Consider the following 17,759-nt stretch of genomic DNA (forward strand, 5'->3'; position numbering starts at 1 on the left):
AAAGTTACACATAATTTTATATTTGACATATAAAATATGCTTTCTGTATAATTCTAAAATACCAAATAAGCATAATATGTCTCTCTTGGACTTTTGGAGACCCTAATATCTTAAAAGTTAGTTTGAGGTCAAAAAGACTGAATTTTGAATTTGACATTTTTGCTTTGGGAAAGTTTGTCAAATATCAAAGGTTTAAAACACTTGATATCACAAAATAGAATCACAGGTCATTTATTTAGCCAAAACAATAATTTAAAGATTTAAAAAAACAAAAGCCTTTATTCTTTGATAAAGGGGGTACTCAGTTTCCCAAACAGTAAGACCAAATCAAGGCACAATGAGACCAACTAAATCTGTCTCTCTCTCTCTCCTCTTTTCCCTGCAGTTTATTCAAAAGGTAAAATTTTTAAAAATTATTTTTTATTAATTGTACATGAAAATTTAGTTCAAAAAGAGAAAAATAAATTTTACTTTTGTATAGTATATTATTAATTTTGAAGCTAATTTTAATAAAATCCTATTTAAAAAAAGTATCTAATTTTAAGCAGTTTGACCATAAGTTAAGATTTTTATAACCTTTCATAGGTTTTTACAATTTGTTACTAAAGAGTGGATCAATATTCTAACAAGAGCCTGTTATTCTGACACGGGGGCCCAGATGCTGGCCTTGCAGCAGTGTGCTTTTGATATTAACGTTTAGTTTACAGAAAAGCTCTGAACTATTGTTATGTCTCAAAATCGGCCCTTACAATCTCACGTGCCCACCTCTTCAGCAATAGTCCCCAGGGCTAGAGGGATTGAATAGTTTTAATTTCTGGTCCTGTGTCTCATAAAAGCAGTTTATTTTGATTGTTACCTTTTCCTGGGTCTGAAGATGAGGCTTTGACTAGTGCCAATGTTCAAGATTTAGCAGGAGTCAGTGAGTGTCTGTCTTTCTTTTCCTCCCTTCCTTCCTTCCTTCCTTCCTTCCTTCCTTCCTTCCTTCCTTCCTTCCTTCCTTCCTTCCTTCCTTCCTTCCTTCTTAGATAGGGTCTTGCTCTGTTGCTCAGGCTGGAATATAGTGGCATGATTACAGCTCACTGCAGCCTCAACCTCCTGGGCTCAAGTGATCCTCCCACCTTAGCTTCACAAGTAGCTGGAACTACAAGCACGCACCACCACACTGGCTCATTTTTTAATTTTTTGTAGAGATGGGGTCTTTCTATGTTGCCCAGGCTTGTCTCAAACTCCTGGACTTAAGCTATCCTCCCACCTTGGCCTCCCAAAGTATTGGGACTACAGGTGTGAGCCACTGAGCCAGGGCTAGAATTCTTATTCTTAATAACCTTAAATTTTAGTGAAAAATCTCGGAAGCAAGAAATCCTAAACTGTCTATCAGATATTAGCACTTTATTAGAACCTTCCACAATTTTTTTAAAAATGTTTATTTTTATTACAACGCTCCACATTTATAAGAGCCTTTCACAATTAAAAAAAAAGTTTCTCCATATCACAACCTTCTTAAAATTGGCCAAACATCTAACGAGTATCCTAAATTATTTTAAGATTTTAAATTACACAGAAGTTTATTTATAGTATTTATTCCATTAACGTTATTCATTTTTAGCAGTTTATCTAAATGACTTATGAGAACTGAGATATTAGACAAAGCTAGTCATTATTTCCTTGTTAATCATTTTTACAACCTGTGCATATTAGGTGTTCACCTAAGTAAGAAACTTAAATACATGGATATTTTCACCAATAACTCAGAAGATTCGGCTATTTGCATTAAACCGACAATATTAAATTGTTCTTATTTATCAAAAAATCATACAAACAAAGATTATTTTGTTTTTGGCTGGTTTTACAGTATTATAACCTATTGTGCTAAACCCTGATACCTTAAAATATCTAGCAGAGACAAACATAAAACCCAGACAAAAATATATGCTAGCCGGCACCTGAGCTGAGATCATGCCACTGCACTCCAGCCTGGGCAACTGAGCAAGACTTCGTCTCAGAAAAAAAGAAAAAAGAAAAAGAATATGCAGAGGCCTCATCCTAGGGTGGGGAAGTCAATTTCCCCTTCCCACTGGCTCAGTGCCCCAGTCCATAGCAGACAGGCCATCATGCCCACCAACGCTAATTGCAGCCTCACACCAGGACATGCTCAGCACCTGGATCAGGGATGGGAAGAAGCCCCCGATAAGTAGCCCATGGATTGAGCTGGTGCTGCCATCCTAGAGTGGGGACAGCTGCTGCCTGGCTCTGGCCTGGGCACCATGCAGTGTGCATGCAACCCCGATCCTCTCTGTGTTTGTGCCCGGGCCCCCACCAGGGGCAGAGGGCAATGGCAAACACAAGCCTCCTCTCATCAACACAAGCTGGCTGCCACCTCGAGTGGAGGGTGGCAGTGGTCATTGGGCAGGGTGGGAGACCAAGTAGGGAGGATGGGGTGCAGGTGCTGAGAACCCAGGGTGGAAAGGGGAAGCGGGATGTGAGCCAAGTCTCCAAACCCCCATGCTTGCTCCATTGTCCAACTGGACTTAGGAAACACAAATTAGAAGGTAAAATTAAACTTCAGATTCGAGGCTCTGTGTGGCTACACTAGTTGCACACCCATGAATTCAACTCTGGCCAGATAATATTTACATTTCTAGCAGGTTCCCAGGTGACCCTGAGAAGCACTTGATCTTTCCTTTCTTTTCTTTTCTTTTTCTTTCTTTCTTTTTTTTTTTTTTCAAGACTGCCCAGGCTGGGACTATATGTCCCTTCTTTTTTTTTTTTTTTTTTTTTTCCTTTGAGACGGAGTTTTGCTCTTGTCGCCCAGGCTGCAGTGCAATGGTGCAACCTCGGCTTACTGCAACCTCTGCCTCCCAGGTTCAAGCAATTCTCCTGACTCAGCCTCCTGAGTAGCTGGGATTACAGGCACTCACCACCATGCCCGGCTAATTTTTGTATTTTTAGTAGAGACAGGGTTTCACCAGGTTGACCAGGCTGGTCTCGAACTCCTGACCTCAAGTGATCCACCCACTTTGGCCTCCCAAAGTGCTGGGATTACAGGTGTGAGCCACCACGCCCAGCCAGTCCTTTCTTTTGAAAAGGTGCAAAGCATTGCTCCACAGTGTGACTTTCCTCTTTTCCTCAGTAAAATCGTGATGCTATTTCCCGCATGTCCTGCCTCATAGGCTTTGGTGAGAGGACAAAGGGAAGGATGCCTGAAAGTGCCCGGCACAGTGGTTAGAACAAAGCATGCACTCGGGAAATGTTAGCAGCAGCACTAATAGTAATAGTCATAATTATTCTTGCTGCCATCACTTCCACTTTTGTTCGGGCTATTGTCTCTGATGACTTTCTATTGCTCCCTATTTACCCTCTGCTGTCTTCAGAAAAGGAACTAGAGAAGTACAGGGGCAGGGCAGGGCTAGGGAGGGACACCTCAGGTCAGAGCCAGTTATTGCCAAAAGTCAAATCATGAAGAGATATGTAAGGATGCTGAGATTTGCCAGAACAAACTGAAAACTCAGATCCTCTGAAACTGGCCCTGGAGGAAGAAATCTGAGTGTGAGGAGAATATAGGCAGACCATTGCACCCCATTGTTCCCTGGAGATTGAGTGCCCAGTCTGTAAAAGACACATAAATATCTCTAAGGGGTGGAAAGCTCCAGGTGTCCTTCAGAGGAGGACAGATCAAGTCCTAGAGATAAAGATCCAACTCCCACAGCCACCCGCTCCTGTCCTTTCAGGAGTGAGTGGGGAGGTACCACTTTCCCTTCAACGTTTAGACCAGGTTATGACGTCCAGAGCACAAGAACCCTGCACAGCCAGCCACAGAGGCAGGCTTCTCCCCACAGGGCTTTACCACATTCTAGATTACATGGTCTTGCTTGCTCTCTAGGGCTCACCCTTCCCATCTCACATGGCAGACATCCACTGTTCTCAAACTCCAGGCCAGGAGACCACAGCCAGAGAAAGAGAACAAGCCTGAGTGCCTCTGCAGTGGGTCTTGACTGTGGAATCTTCCAGGATGCTTAAAAAATACCGATGCCTGGGTCCCTCCCCCAGGAATTCTGATTTAATTAATTTACGGTACATTCTATGTATCAGTGTTTTGAAAACTCAGCAGGGGTTACTACTGTGCACTTGAGGCTGGGAGCCACTGCTGTCCCGCCCACTCAGTTGTAGGATATTCTCTGAGGATCCTTCTCTGAATGGCTGACAGGCAGGGTGAACAACCCCCTCAGAGGCACCTCCATTAATCAGATGCATGAACTTGCCTTAGTAGCTATCCAGGAAGGTCTTCAGGAACCGCACTGCATGACCACAAGAGAGAGCCAGCCACTGCAGGCGAGGTGAGGATGGCCTGTGCACACGGAATTATTTTGGGAAGAAGTGGGAGGATCACCAGGTCAGCACAGGGTCGATTGTAGGGCTGTGTCTAGGGCATATTCCCTGGAAATAAAATAGGTTCTTGGAGCTGTACTGAGAGCAGCTTTCGACCATGCTAAATTCCTATTAGTAGTTTTTTTTAAATGAACCAATTTGCTATTAATATGTATTCTTTGGTGAAACTGTCCAAATATTTTGACCATCTTTTATTTTATTATTATTATTATTATTTTTGAGACGGAGTCTTGCTCCATCACCCAGGCTGGAGTGCAGTGGCATGATCTCGGCTCACTGCAACCTCCACCTCTTGGGTTCAAGTGATTCTCCTGCCTCAGCCTCCTGAGTAGCTGGGATTACAGGCGCCTGCCACCATGTCCGGCTAATTTTAGCATTTTTATTAGAGATAGGGTTTCCCCATGTTGGCCACGCTGGTCTCGAACTCCTGACCTCAGGTGATCTGCCCCCCTCGGCCTCCCAGAGTGCTGAGATTACAGGTGTGAGCCACTGCCCCCAATCAGTTCAATTTTTAAAAAATATTTTTTATTGGCCTGGCATGGTGGCTCACGCCTGTAATCCCAGCACTTTGGGAGGCCAAGGCAGACGGATCACCTGAGGTCAGGAGTTCGAGACCAGCCTGACCAACATGGTGAAACCCAATCTCTACTAAAAATGCAAAAATTAGCCAAGCGTGGTGGTGGGTGCCTGTAATCCAAGCTACTCGGGAGGCTGAAGCAGGAGAATCACTTGAACTTGGGAGGTGGGGGTTGCAGTGAGCTGAGATTGCACCACTGCACTCCAGCCTGGGCGACAGAGCAAGAATCCCTGTCAAAAAAAAAAAAAAAATTATTATTGAGCTGTAAAAGTTCTTTTTAAAATTAAACTTTTTTTTTTGTAGAGTTGGAGTCTCGCCACATTGCCCAGGCTGTCCTCGAACTCCTGGGCTCAAGCAATCCTCCCACCTCGGCCTCCCAAAGTGCTAGGATTACAGGTGTGAGCCACCATGTCCAGACCAAAAGTGCTTTATATGTTCTGGGTACAAACTGTCAGATATAGAAGCCTTCTTCTGGCTCCAAGCAGTTGTGCTAGAGAGTGTTCACCAAAGCCTGGTATAGGTGCCCCGTGTTTATGAGCATTTGGCCTGGTCTGCCCTCTCTTCTCTGCCAGGCAGCACTGCCAGCTCAGGTACAACCTGCTCACATCAGATCAATTCCACAAACATTTACTGAACATCTATTCCCTGACAGGATCATGCTAGGAACCGGGGAGAATGAAATAAATAGCTCTTGTTTATTAATATTCTTTGTAGAATGTTGACCTCGAGCAAGTTACTTGCTTCTCGATATTTCAGTTTCCTGATCTGTAAAATGTGACTGTGAAAGGGCCCACCCTGAAGGGTTGTAGTAAAGTCTAAGTGAGTTAATACATCAAAATACTCAGTAGGATGTCTGGCATATATTAAGTACCTAATAAATGTTAGCCAATGTTGTCATTATTTTAAAAATTCTCATTATTTGTTATGGCCTGAATGTTTGTGTCCCTCCCCCCAAATTTTTATTTACATATATATATATATATATATATATATATATTTTTTTTTTTTTTTTTTTTTTTTTTTTTTGAGACACAGTTTTACTGTTTCCCAGGCTGGAGTTCAGTGGCACAATCTCAGCTCACTCCAACCTCTGCCTCCCAGGTTCAGGCGATTCTCACGCCTCAGCCTCCTGAGTAGCTGGGATTACAGGCGTGTGCCACCATGCCTGGTTAATTTTTTGTGTGTTATTAGTAAAGATGGGGTTTTGATATGTTGTTCAGGCCGGTCTTGAACTCCTGACCTCAGTTGATCTGCCTGCCTCGGCCTCCTGAAGTGCTGGGATTACAGGTGTGAGCCACTGCGCCCAGCCTCCAATGCAATATTATTAAGAGGTGGAGCCTTTTGGAACTTATTAGGTCATGAGGCAGAGCCCTCATCTATGGGATTAATGCTCTTATGAAAGAGGCCTGAGGTAGCTTGTTCATCCCCACTGTCATATGAGTATGCGGCCAGAAGGCACCGTCTTTGAAGCAGAGTGCAGCCCTCACCAGCAACTGACTCTGCTGGCGCTTTGATCTTGGACTTCCCAGCCTCCAGAACTATGAGGAATACATTTCTGTTGTTTATAAGTTGCCCAGTCTAAGGTATTTTGTTATAGCAGCCTGAATGGACTAAGACATTATGACAACTGCTACCATGGTGAGACGGAACTTAGAGGGTAATGGGGAAAACAAGCAATTATAATAGAGTGGTAGGTACTAATATACCTGGAAGCAGAGGTGCCCCTATACAGGATTGGGGGTTATTGAAGGTTTCCTAAAGAAAACAATGGCTTAGCTGAGAACAAGAAATGATCAAGACATTTCCAGGTGTGGGAAGGACTGTGTATTAGTCCATTTTCACGCTGCTGTTAAAGACATACCCGAGACTGGGTAAGTTACAAAGTAAAAGAGGCTTAATGGACTCACAGCTCCACGTGCCTGGGGAGGCCTCACAATCATGGCAGAAGGCAAGAGAGAGAATGAGAGTCAAGTGAAAGGGGTTTCCCCTCATAAAACCATCAGATCTCATGAGACTTATTCACTACCATGAGAACAGTATGGGGGAAACCACCCCCATGATTCAATTATCTCCCACCGGTCCCTCCCACAACACATGGAAATTATGGGAGCTACAATTCAAGATGAGATTTGGCTGGGGACACAGCCAAATCATATCAGACTGTGAGGAGGAGGAACATTCCAGGCAGAGGCACTAGCAATGTACAGTCTGCAGATGAGAGAGGAATGGCTTGTTGGAGAAGTTGTGGGGTGCTGAGAGGAAGAATGGACACAGCGGTGAGGTCATCCAGGCCTGATAAGCCATGATAAGGAGTTTGGACTTGATCTAAAGATGGAGAAGTCATAGATCCTGCCCTTTGAGTAGCTCCAAGTTAAACAGGAGAGGTGGACATAAAACAGATCATTTATTAATTATGTCATAGTTTAATATAATGTGAGATGACAGAGGAGAGACCCCAAACCCTGACTATGGCAGAGAAGTGCTTCTGGAAAAAAACAAGATGATATATAACAAAAAAACAAGATGATATATAACAAAAAAACAAGATGAAATGCCCAGATCAACATGGACAGGTATCACAAGGGAACACTTCCTCTTCCCAAGCATGCCGTCTTCCCCTCTTCCCAGAGTCTTTTGGTGTAACATCATCCTCCACCAAGTCAGAAACCTTAATGTGACCCCCCTTGCTACTTTTTCCCTCATCCCTCCCTCACATTCGACCAATGGCCGAGTCCCACTGAGTTGTTGCCTCTAACTCTGTTACTCCCAATTTCCCTAGGCAAGGGCTTCAGCATCTGTTCAAGGGATGCTTTCAGCAACTGGGTCTATCTATCTGGATTTGCCCTGATCAAATTCCCTTTCCACACGGTGACTGCCAGAGTGTCTTCCAGCACTTCCAACATGTCAATCCAGTCATGTCTCTCTCATGGGCAAAACTATTTAGTTCCACAACATCTTGCTGTGTCTGAATTTCTACGCATCCATAGATCTATTGAGAGCTAAGAATGAATGTGTGTAAAATATCTTTACCTCCTCTGGGGAACTTAAGAGACCTCTTTTTAATCCTATATTTAGTATTAAAGATATGTCAATATCTTTTCTTATGTGTCATTTCACTAAACCTGAACTATCCTTTCTTGAAAAACCTGAATTAAGGTTGGAAGGTGTGTCTAGACCTTCTGGTAGTAGGGATTAAAAAAAATAAATATGTAAATATGAATTCTTAACGTCCTTATTTGTTTTCCCAGGGTGAGCACCATATAAATGCTAAATTATTGGTTAGTAGGAAGGAAGGTTATTCCGTGATGGAGTCCTCCATATACACTGACCTCAGCCTGAATAATGTAAGATTTCAGCATTTTCCTCCTTCTTTGTTCTTCTCTAAGGTGGTTCTTTTCTACTTTTGCTTTTGCTTTTAAGAGTCAGGTTTATTAGAGACTAATTTTAATAAAATTTACCACTGTACAGTACATAATTCAGTAAGTATTGTTGATTGTCTACAGTCATATATCTTTGTGAAGATATAGAATACTTCCATCAACTCCAGAAATCCTCTCATGCATCTTTGCAGTTGATCTCCTCATCCACCCCCATTTCCTGGCAATAGCTGATCTGTTTTCCAGAATGTAACATTAATGAAATCATATAAAATATAGTCTTTTGTTTCTGGTTGCTAATAGTATATTGGTTTTGAGAATAATTAATATTGTTGCATGAATCAGTAGTTTGTTTTTTTTCATTGCTGACCATTATTCCATGGTCTGAGTGTAGTGGAATTTGTTTATCCATTTCCCTGTTGATGGACATTTGGGCTGTTTCCAGTCTTTAGCTATTATGAATAAAATTGTAATTGTAATGTGAATACAGGCCTTTGTGTAGACATATGAATTCATTTCTCTTGCATAAATCCCTGAGAGTGGTATTGCTGGATTATATAGTAAATGTGTATTTAATTTTATAAAAACTGCCAAACTCTTTTAAAGTGGTTTTATCATTTTTCATTCCCACCATCAGTGTAAGAGAGTTTCAGTTACTCCACATGCTTGTCATTGTTTGATAATGTCACTCCTTGTAATTTTAGACATTCTAGTGGGTGTGCAATGGTACTTTGTCATATCTTAATTTACGTTCCCCAAAATTCAAATTAGCATCTTTTAATGAACAGATTTTCCATTTATATATATATTTGTTGGTGAAAGTGTCTGTTCAAATATTTTGATCATTTTTTAGTTCAATTTAAAAAATATTTTTATTTTTCAGCTGTCAAAGTTCTTTATATATTCTGGATACAAGTTATCAGATACAGAATTTTATAAAATTTTTCTGTCTGTGGCTTTAAATTTTTTTCTTATCTTTTTGCCCAGGCATGGTAATCCCAGCACTTTGGGAGGTTGAGGTGGGTGGATCACTTGAAGTCAGGAGTTTGAGACCAGCATGGCCAACATGGCAAAACCCCTTCTCTACTTAAAATACAAAAATTAGCTGGGTATGGTGGCACATGCCTGTAATCCCAGCTACTCTGGAGGCTGAGGCAAGAGAATTGCTTGAACTTGGAAGATGAAGGTTGCAGTGAGTGGATATTGTGACATTGCATTCCAGCTTGGTCAACAGAGTAAGACCCTGTCTTAAAAAAAAAAGAAAAGAAAAGAAAGAAAGAAAAGAAAAGAAAAAAAGTTTATCTTTTTATAGCAGCTTTATTGAGATACATTCATATGACATCTTTTGAAGAGTAGAACATTTTAATTTTGATGAGGTCCAATGTATCAGATTTTTCTTATATGGTTTGAGATGTTTGTGTCCTTTCTGAGAAAGCTTTGCCTAATTCAAGATCATATAATTTTATCCTATGTTTTCTCAGAAGTTTTATAATTTTGACTTACATGTAGGTCTATAATCCATTTCAAGTTAATTTTTGTATACGGTATGAAGTAATGATCAAAGTTCATTTGTTTTGATGTATGAATGTCCAATTGTTATAGCATCATTTGTTGAAGAGCTATCCTTTCTCCATTGAATTACCTTGGCACTTTTGTTGAAAATAAATTGACTCTATATTTGTGGTCTATTTCTGGATTCCCTTGTCTGTTCCTTTGGTCTATATGTCTATTCTTACACCAGTATTGCACTGTCTTGATTCCTGTAGCTTTAGAATAAATCTTAAAATCAAATAGTATGACTCTTCCAACTTTGTTATTCTTTTTCAAAATCATCTTTAGGTCCTTTGCATTTTTATATAATTTGTTAATTTTTACCCCCAAAAAAGGCTGTTGAGGTTTTGTTTAGGTTATGTTGAATCTAAGACTAATTTGGGGAGAACTGACATTTTAGCAATGTTGACTCTTCCAAGCCATGAGCATAGTCTGTCTCTTTATTTATTCTACCATAATTTCTCTCAGTATTTAAAAACATTACTTCAATGTAGAGGGCTTACATTACTAATTATTTCACGTTTTAAAAATTATTATAAATTGTGTTTTTAACATTTTAAATTTCCAATTGTTTCTTGCTAGTAAATAGAAAAACTATTTTTTATATTGACGTTTTCATATCTTGAAGCCTAACTAAATTTACATATTTTATTTTTCTAGCATTGGCTAGAACCTTAGGGGGGAAGCATTTGATTTTTTACCATTAAAAATGATGCTAACTGTAGGTTGTTTATAAATAAGATTTATCAGATTGAGGAAGTTTCTTTCTATTCCTAGTTTGCTGAAATTTTTTTATGAGGAATGTATGTTGAATTTTATAAACACTTTTTTTGCATGTATTGAGATAATTATATAATTGTACTATTTTAGTACATTGAGATCAAGAGTTTCAGTGATTGACTTTAAATGTTGAACTAACCTTGCCTTCCTAGAATATGCCCAAGTATGTCCTTTTTAAATATTTCTGGATTCAGTTTGCTAATATTTTGTGACTATGTTCATGAGAGATATTGGTTGCTAGCATCATGATGACAGGATCAAATTCACACATAATAACATTAACCTTAAATGTAAATTGGCTAAATGTCCCAATTAAAGACATAGAATGGCAAGCTGGATAAAGAGTCAAGAGCCATCAGTATGCTGTATTCAAGAGACCCATCTCATGTGCAAAGACACACTTAGGCTCAAAATAAAGGAATGGAGGAAAATTTACCAAGAAAATGGAAAGCAGAAAAAAGCAGGGGTTGCAATCCTAGTTTCTGACAAAACAGATTTTAAACCAACAAAGATGAAAACAGACAAAGAAGAGCATTACATAATGGTAAAGTGCTCAATTCAATAAGAAGAGCTAACTATCCTAAATATATATGCACCCAATACAGGAGCAACCAGATTCATAAAACAAGTTCTTAGAGATGTACAAAGAGACTTAGACTCCCACACAATAATAGTGGGAGACCTTAACACCCCACTGTCAATATTAGACAGATTATCAAGATGGAAAATTTAAAATGATATTCAGAACTTGAATTTAGCTCTGTAGCAAGTGGACCTGATAGATATCTACAGAACTCTCCACCCAAAAATAACAAATATATATTCTTCTCAGTGTCACATGGTGCTTACTCTAAAACTGATCACATAATTAGAAGTAAAACACTTCTCAGCAAATGCAAAAGAACTGAAATAATAACAAACAGTCTCTCAGACCACAGTGCAATCAAATTAGAACTCAAGATTAAGAAACCCATTCAAAACCACACAACTATGTGGAAATTGAACAACCTGCTCCTGAATGACTCCTGGATAAATAATGAAATTAAGGCAGAAATCAAGAAGTTTTTTGAAACCAGTGAGAACAAAGAGACAACATACACCCCAGAATCTCTGGGATGCAGCTAAAGCAGTGTTAAGAGGGAAATTCATAGCACTAAATGCCCACAACACAAAGCTAGAAGGATCTGAAATTGACATCCTAACATCACAACTAAAAGAACTAGAGAACTAAGAGCAAACAAAGTCCAAAGCTAGAAGAAGACAAGAAATAATCAAGATTGGAGCAGAACTGAAGGAGACAGAGACACGAAAAACCCTTCAAAAACTCAACAAATCCAGGAGCTGGGTTTTTGAGAAAATTAATAAAATAGGTAGACTGCCAGCTGGACTAATAAAGAAGAAAAGAGAGAGGAATCAAATAGACACAATAAAAAATGATAAAGTGGATGTTACCACTGACCTTACAGAAATACAAACAACCATCAGAGAATACTATAAACACCTCTATGCAAATAAACTAGAAAATCTAGAAGAAATAGATAAATTCCTGGACACATACACCCTCCCAAGACTAACCAGGAAGAAGTTGAATCCCTGAATAGACTAACAAGTTCTGAAATTGAGGCATTAATAAATAGGCCGGGCGCGGTGGCTCACGCCTGTAATCCCAGCACTTTGGGAGGCCGAGGCGGGCGGATCACGAGGTCAGGAGATCGAGACCATCCTGGCTAACACGGTGAAACCCCGTCTCTAATAAAAATACAAAAAATTAGCCAGGCGTGGTGGCGGGCGCCTGTAGTCCCAGCTACTCGGGAGGCTGAGGCAGGAGAATGGCGTGAACCTGGGAGGCAGAGCTTGCAGTGAGCCGAGATGGTGCCACTGCACTCCAGCCTGGGCAGCAGTATGAGACTCCGTCTCAAGAAAAAAAATAATAAAAAAAATAAAAAATAAAAAAAAAATAAATAAATAGCCTACCAACCAAAAAAAGCCCAGAACCAGATGGATTTACAGCTGAATTCTACCAGACGTACAAAGAGGAGCTGGCAGCATTTCTTCTGAAACTATTCCAAACAATTGAAAAGGAGGGACTACTCCCTAACTCATTTCATGAGACCAGCATCATTCTGATACCAAAACCTGGCAGAGATGCAACAACTAAAGAGAACTTCAGGCCAACATCCCTGATGAACATTGATGCAAAAATCCTCAATAAAATAATGGCAAACCAAATCCAGCAGCACATCAAAAAACTTATCCACCACAATCAAGTTGGCTTCATCCCAGGATGCAAGGCTGGTTCAACGTATGCAAATCAATAAACATAATTCATCACATAAACAGAACTAAAGGCAAAAACCACATGATTATCTCAACAGACACAGAAAAGGCTTTTGATAAAATTCAACATCCTTCATTTAAAAAACTCTCAATAAACTAGGTATTGACGGAACATACCTCAAAATAATAAGGGCCATTTATGACACACTCACAGCCAATATCATACTGAATGTACAAAAGCTGGAAGCATTCCCCTTGAAAACCTGCACAAGACAAAGATGCCCTCTCTTACCATTCCTATTCAACATAGTATTAGAAGTTCTGGCCAGGGCAATCAGGCAAGAGAAAGAAATAAAAGGTATTCAAATTGAAAGAGAGGAAGTCAAACTATCTCTTTTGGCAGATCACATGATCCTATATCTAGAAAACCCCATCATCTCAGCCCAAAAGCTTCTAAAGGTAATAAGCAACTTCAGCAGTCTCAGGATACAAAATCAATGTGCAAAAATCACTAGCATTCCTAGACACAAACAATAGACAAGCAGAGAGCCAAATCATGAATGAACTCTCATTCACGACTGCTACAAAGAGAATAAAATACCTAGGAGTACAGCTAACAAGCAAAGTGAAGGACCTCTTCAAGGAGAACTACAAACCACTGCTCAAGGAAATCAGAGAGGACACAAACAAATGCAAAAACACTCCATACTCATGGATAGGAAGAATCAATATCATGAAAATGGCCATAATGCCCAAAATAATTTATAGATTCAATGCTATTCCCATTAAACTACCATTGACATTCTTCACAGAGTTAGAAAAAACTACTTTAAAATTCATATGGAACCAAAAAAAGAGCCCCTGTAGCCAAGACAATCCTAAGCAAAAAGAGCAAAGCTGGAAGCATAATGCTACCCAACTTCAAACTATACTACAAGGCTATGATAACCAAAACAGCATGGTACTGGTGCAAAAACAGACACATAGACCAGTGGAATGGAATAGAGAACTCAGAAATAAGACTGCACATCTACAAGCACCTGATCTTCTTCGAATCTGACAAAAACAAGCAATGGGGAAAGGACTCCCTACTTAATAAATGATGCTGGGAGAATTGGCTAGCCATATGCAGAAAATGGAAACTGAACTCCTTCCTTACACCTTATACAAAATTAACTCAAGATGGATTAAAGACTTAAATGTAAAACCCAAAACTGTAAGAACTCTAGAAGAAATCTAGACAATACCATTCAGGACATAGGCATGGGCAAAGATTTTATGACAAAAATATCAAAAGCAATTGCAACAAAAGCAAAAATTGACAAACAGGATCTAATTAAAGTAAAGAGTTTCTGCACAGCAAAAGAAACTATCTTCAGAGTGAAGAGAAAACCTTCAGAATGGGAGAAAATTTTTGCAATCTATCCATCTCACAAAGGCCTAATATCCAGAATCTACAAGGAACTTAAACAAATTTACAAGAAAAAAAACCAAACAACTCCATTAAAAAGTGAGGAAAGGACATGAACAGATGCTTCTCAAAAGAAGACATTTATGCAGCCAACAAACATATGGAAAAAAGCTCAACATCACTGATCATTAGAGAAATGCAAATCAAAACCACAATGAGATACCATCTCATGCCAGTCAGAATGGTGATTATTAAAAAGTCAAGAAACAACAGATGCTGGCGAGGCTGTGGAGAAATAGGAACGCTTTTACACTGTTGGTGGGAATGTAAATTAGTTCAACCATTGTGGAAGACAGTATGGCAATTCCTCAAAGACCTAGAACCAGAAATACCATTTGACCCAGCAATCCCGTTACTGGGTCCCAAAGGAATATAAATCATTCCATAAAGATACATGCATGCATATGTTCACTGCAGCATTATTCACAATAGCAAAGACATGGAACCAACCCAAATGCCCATCAATGATAGACTGGATAAAGAAAATGTGGTATATATACACCATGGAATACTATGCAGCCATAAAAGGAAAGAGATCATGACTTTTGCAGGGACATGGATGGAGCTGGAAGCCATTATCCTCAGCAAACTAACGCAGGAATAGAAAATCAAACACCACATGTTCTCACTTATAAGTGGGAGGTGAACAATGAGAAAACATGAACACACGGAGGGGGACAACACACACTGGGGCCTGTAGGGGTGATGGGGGAGGTGGGAGCAAGAGCATCAGGAAAAATGACTAATGCATGTGGGGCTTAATACCTAGGTGATGGGTTGATAGGTGCAGCAAGCCACCATGGCACAGATTTACCTATGTAACAAACCTGCATGTCCTGCACATGTACCCCAGAACTTAAAATTTAAAAAAAATTTTAAAATGAGAGATGCTGGCTTATACTTTTCTCTTCTGTCTTGCCTGTCCTTGGTATGACAGACTACATAATGTTGGCCTCCTGATACAAGTTGTTAAATGTTCTCACATCTCCGATTTATTTTTTTTTTAAGTTTATGTAGGGTGGATATTATTTTTCCATGAAATGTTTGGTATAATTCATCAATGAAGGCTTCTGAACCTGGAGACTTTATTTCATTAATATAAATAGGGCTATAAAATTAGCCACTTGTTTATTGTTTGTTTGTTTGATTATTTATTTATTCTGAAGGTACATCAGCAATCTACTTCTTCTTGAATAAGCTTTGGTAGTTTGTGTTTCATTTTGTGGTGGTCTTTGTGTGGGATGTTGGCATATAACTATCTTCTGACTTCCCAGTGCTACAGTGATCATCTATGTATTTATTCATATCATCTTATGCTATTGTTATTTTTGTCCATTCAATGGCTGGAATCAATAGATCACAATATAATCTGTTGTCAATGAAGATGTGGCAGGGGGAACTTTGTGGTTGTGGCAAAGTAGAAGGCATTGTAGATCTTGGGCTAAAAATATAAGAAAGACAAGGATTTGCCTGATGGCTTTGTCAGTCAAATTTGCCTCTTTTAATTAGTATGGGTTTTAAAAATGGGAGAAAAATTTAGAAAAGAGTAATTGGCTCAGAGAAACTTGTAATAAAAAAACACTCCTTCCCTGCAAGCATTGGAAAAGCCAGAGAAAAGCCAGATAAATTGGCAGGACTTACTAGCATGATGCTTTCTCTCTCTCTCTTTTTATTTATTATTATTTTTTGGCATTGTATAAGAAACAAGACTTGACTTTAGTATGTATTTTAGAATTGTTGGCACATACTGAAATGTAACATTTTTTTCGATTGGGAGTTTTTGATAACAAAACAGACAAAAAAACCAATTTTCCTCAATTCTTTATCCCGGTCCTATGTTTAAATATTGTAAATCACATTTGAGAATATTATAGTTACATTTGTTGGAATAGTACACAGTGATTTGAATCACCTATTTTAAAAGCAAGTTACTTGCCAAGCTACTTTTTCACTTAAAATGTTACTTTCATTTATATTAAACCCTATATATACTGTTTTTCTAAGGACAATTTGTTTACAAGTACAGAATAAACTACTTAATGTACTTTGGTTTAATTTACTTACATGTGAGGTAAGTATTTTTTTCTACCATCATCAAAGGGTTGCCACAAGAATAAAATCAGGCATATGCTATAATATGTTGGTGAAGAGAGATTAAAACCATAAGTAAAGGCAAAGTGATAAAGGCAAACTGATATTATTATATCACATTCCTTTATGGTGGGACATGATAATTATGATTGTAAATTTAACGCGATAGGATAGCAGAAAAGGCCTATATGTGTGATCAGCTGGCCTTTCCAGGTGGAATGTATATAGAAGTTGTCCTGTGGTTTGAGGAAGCAGCTACTATTTGCAGAGCCTCCCTCATGTGGTTCTGCCACAAGCCTTGGCTAAAGGTAGCCTCACCCGTGATTGCCAGCCTGCAGGTTGGTTCACTGGGTGCTGCTGCTTCTCAGAATTCCGTGACTAAGCCAGGAGTGGTGTTTGTTCTTTACTGATAGGTATTCTTCTGCCTGCTCTGCTTACCACATCATCACACCAGGCCTTGACCTTTGTGAACCTCTCTGGAAAGTCAAACATACCTAGAGGCTGACCAGGCTTAGGTCTAATAACACCATCAACTGCTCTTTGCAAGGTCATGGAAAAGAGGTTGGAAGTGATTCAAATGAGAAGGAAACTTAATAGCTCATCCAGTCCAAATTTCTCATGACATGGATGGGAAAACAAAAATTCAGAGACGTTAGGGGGCTCCATCCGGGTCCCCTCTACTGTGATGCCTTTCTGGACATCCCAAGGTGATTACAGTGGTGCTTCTGGCTGTTTGCAAAACCATTCTGTGCACTCTCCCGTGACTTCTCACCCTTTGTTAGAATTATCTGTTGATGGTTTCTCTCTCACTAGAACTAGACCTCTTTAAGAGGAAGGCTGAGTCCCCCTAGTGGGTTCTACGAGGCCTGGAACATTGTAAGTACTCATGCATGTTTGTTGACTTGATGAATCTCTCTCATGCTACTAGGTACTATTGTTTTGGGGCCAGGCTCATGGAGATTAAGCAGGAACTTCAAGAAAGCCAAGCTCTTCTTGGTAGCACACCAGAGTCTGAAGGGTAAGCCAAAGAGTAAGCTGGGAAGCACATCCAAGTAGGGGAAGATAAAAAAAAGTGGATCCAGGGCAGAAAGAAGGTGGCAAAAATGTTTCGGTTCCCTCACTTACAGACGCATTAGATTCATTTATTTATTTATTCATTCAATAACTTTATATTGGGCCAGAAGCTGTTGTAGGCACTGAGGATAGAGGGGTGAATATAACAAAGTCCCTGCTTATATCACAGTGGGAA

The sequence above is a fragment of the Homo sapiens genome, chromosome 12 (genome assembly GCF_000001405.40).
Source record: "Homo sapiens chromosome 12, GRCh38.p14 Primary Assembly".
Lineage (NCBI taxonomy): Eukaryota > Metazoa > Chordata > Mammalia > Primates > Hominidae > Homo > Homo sapiens.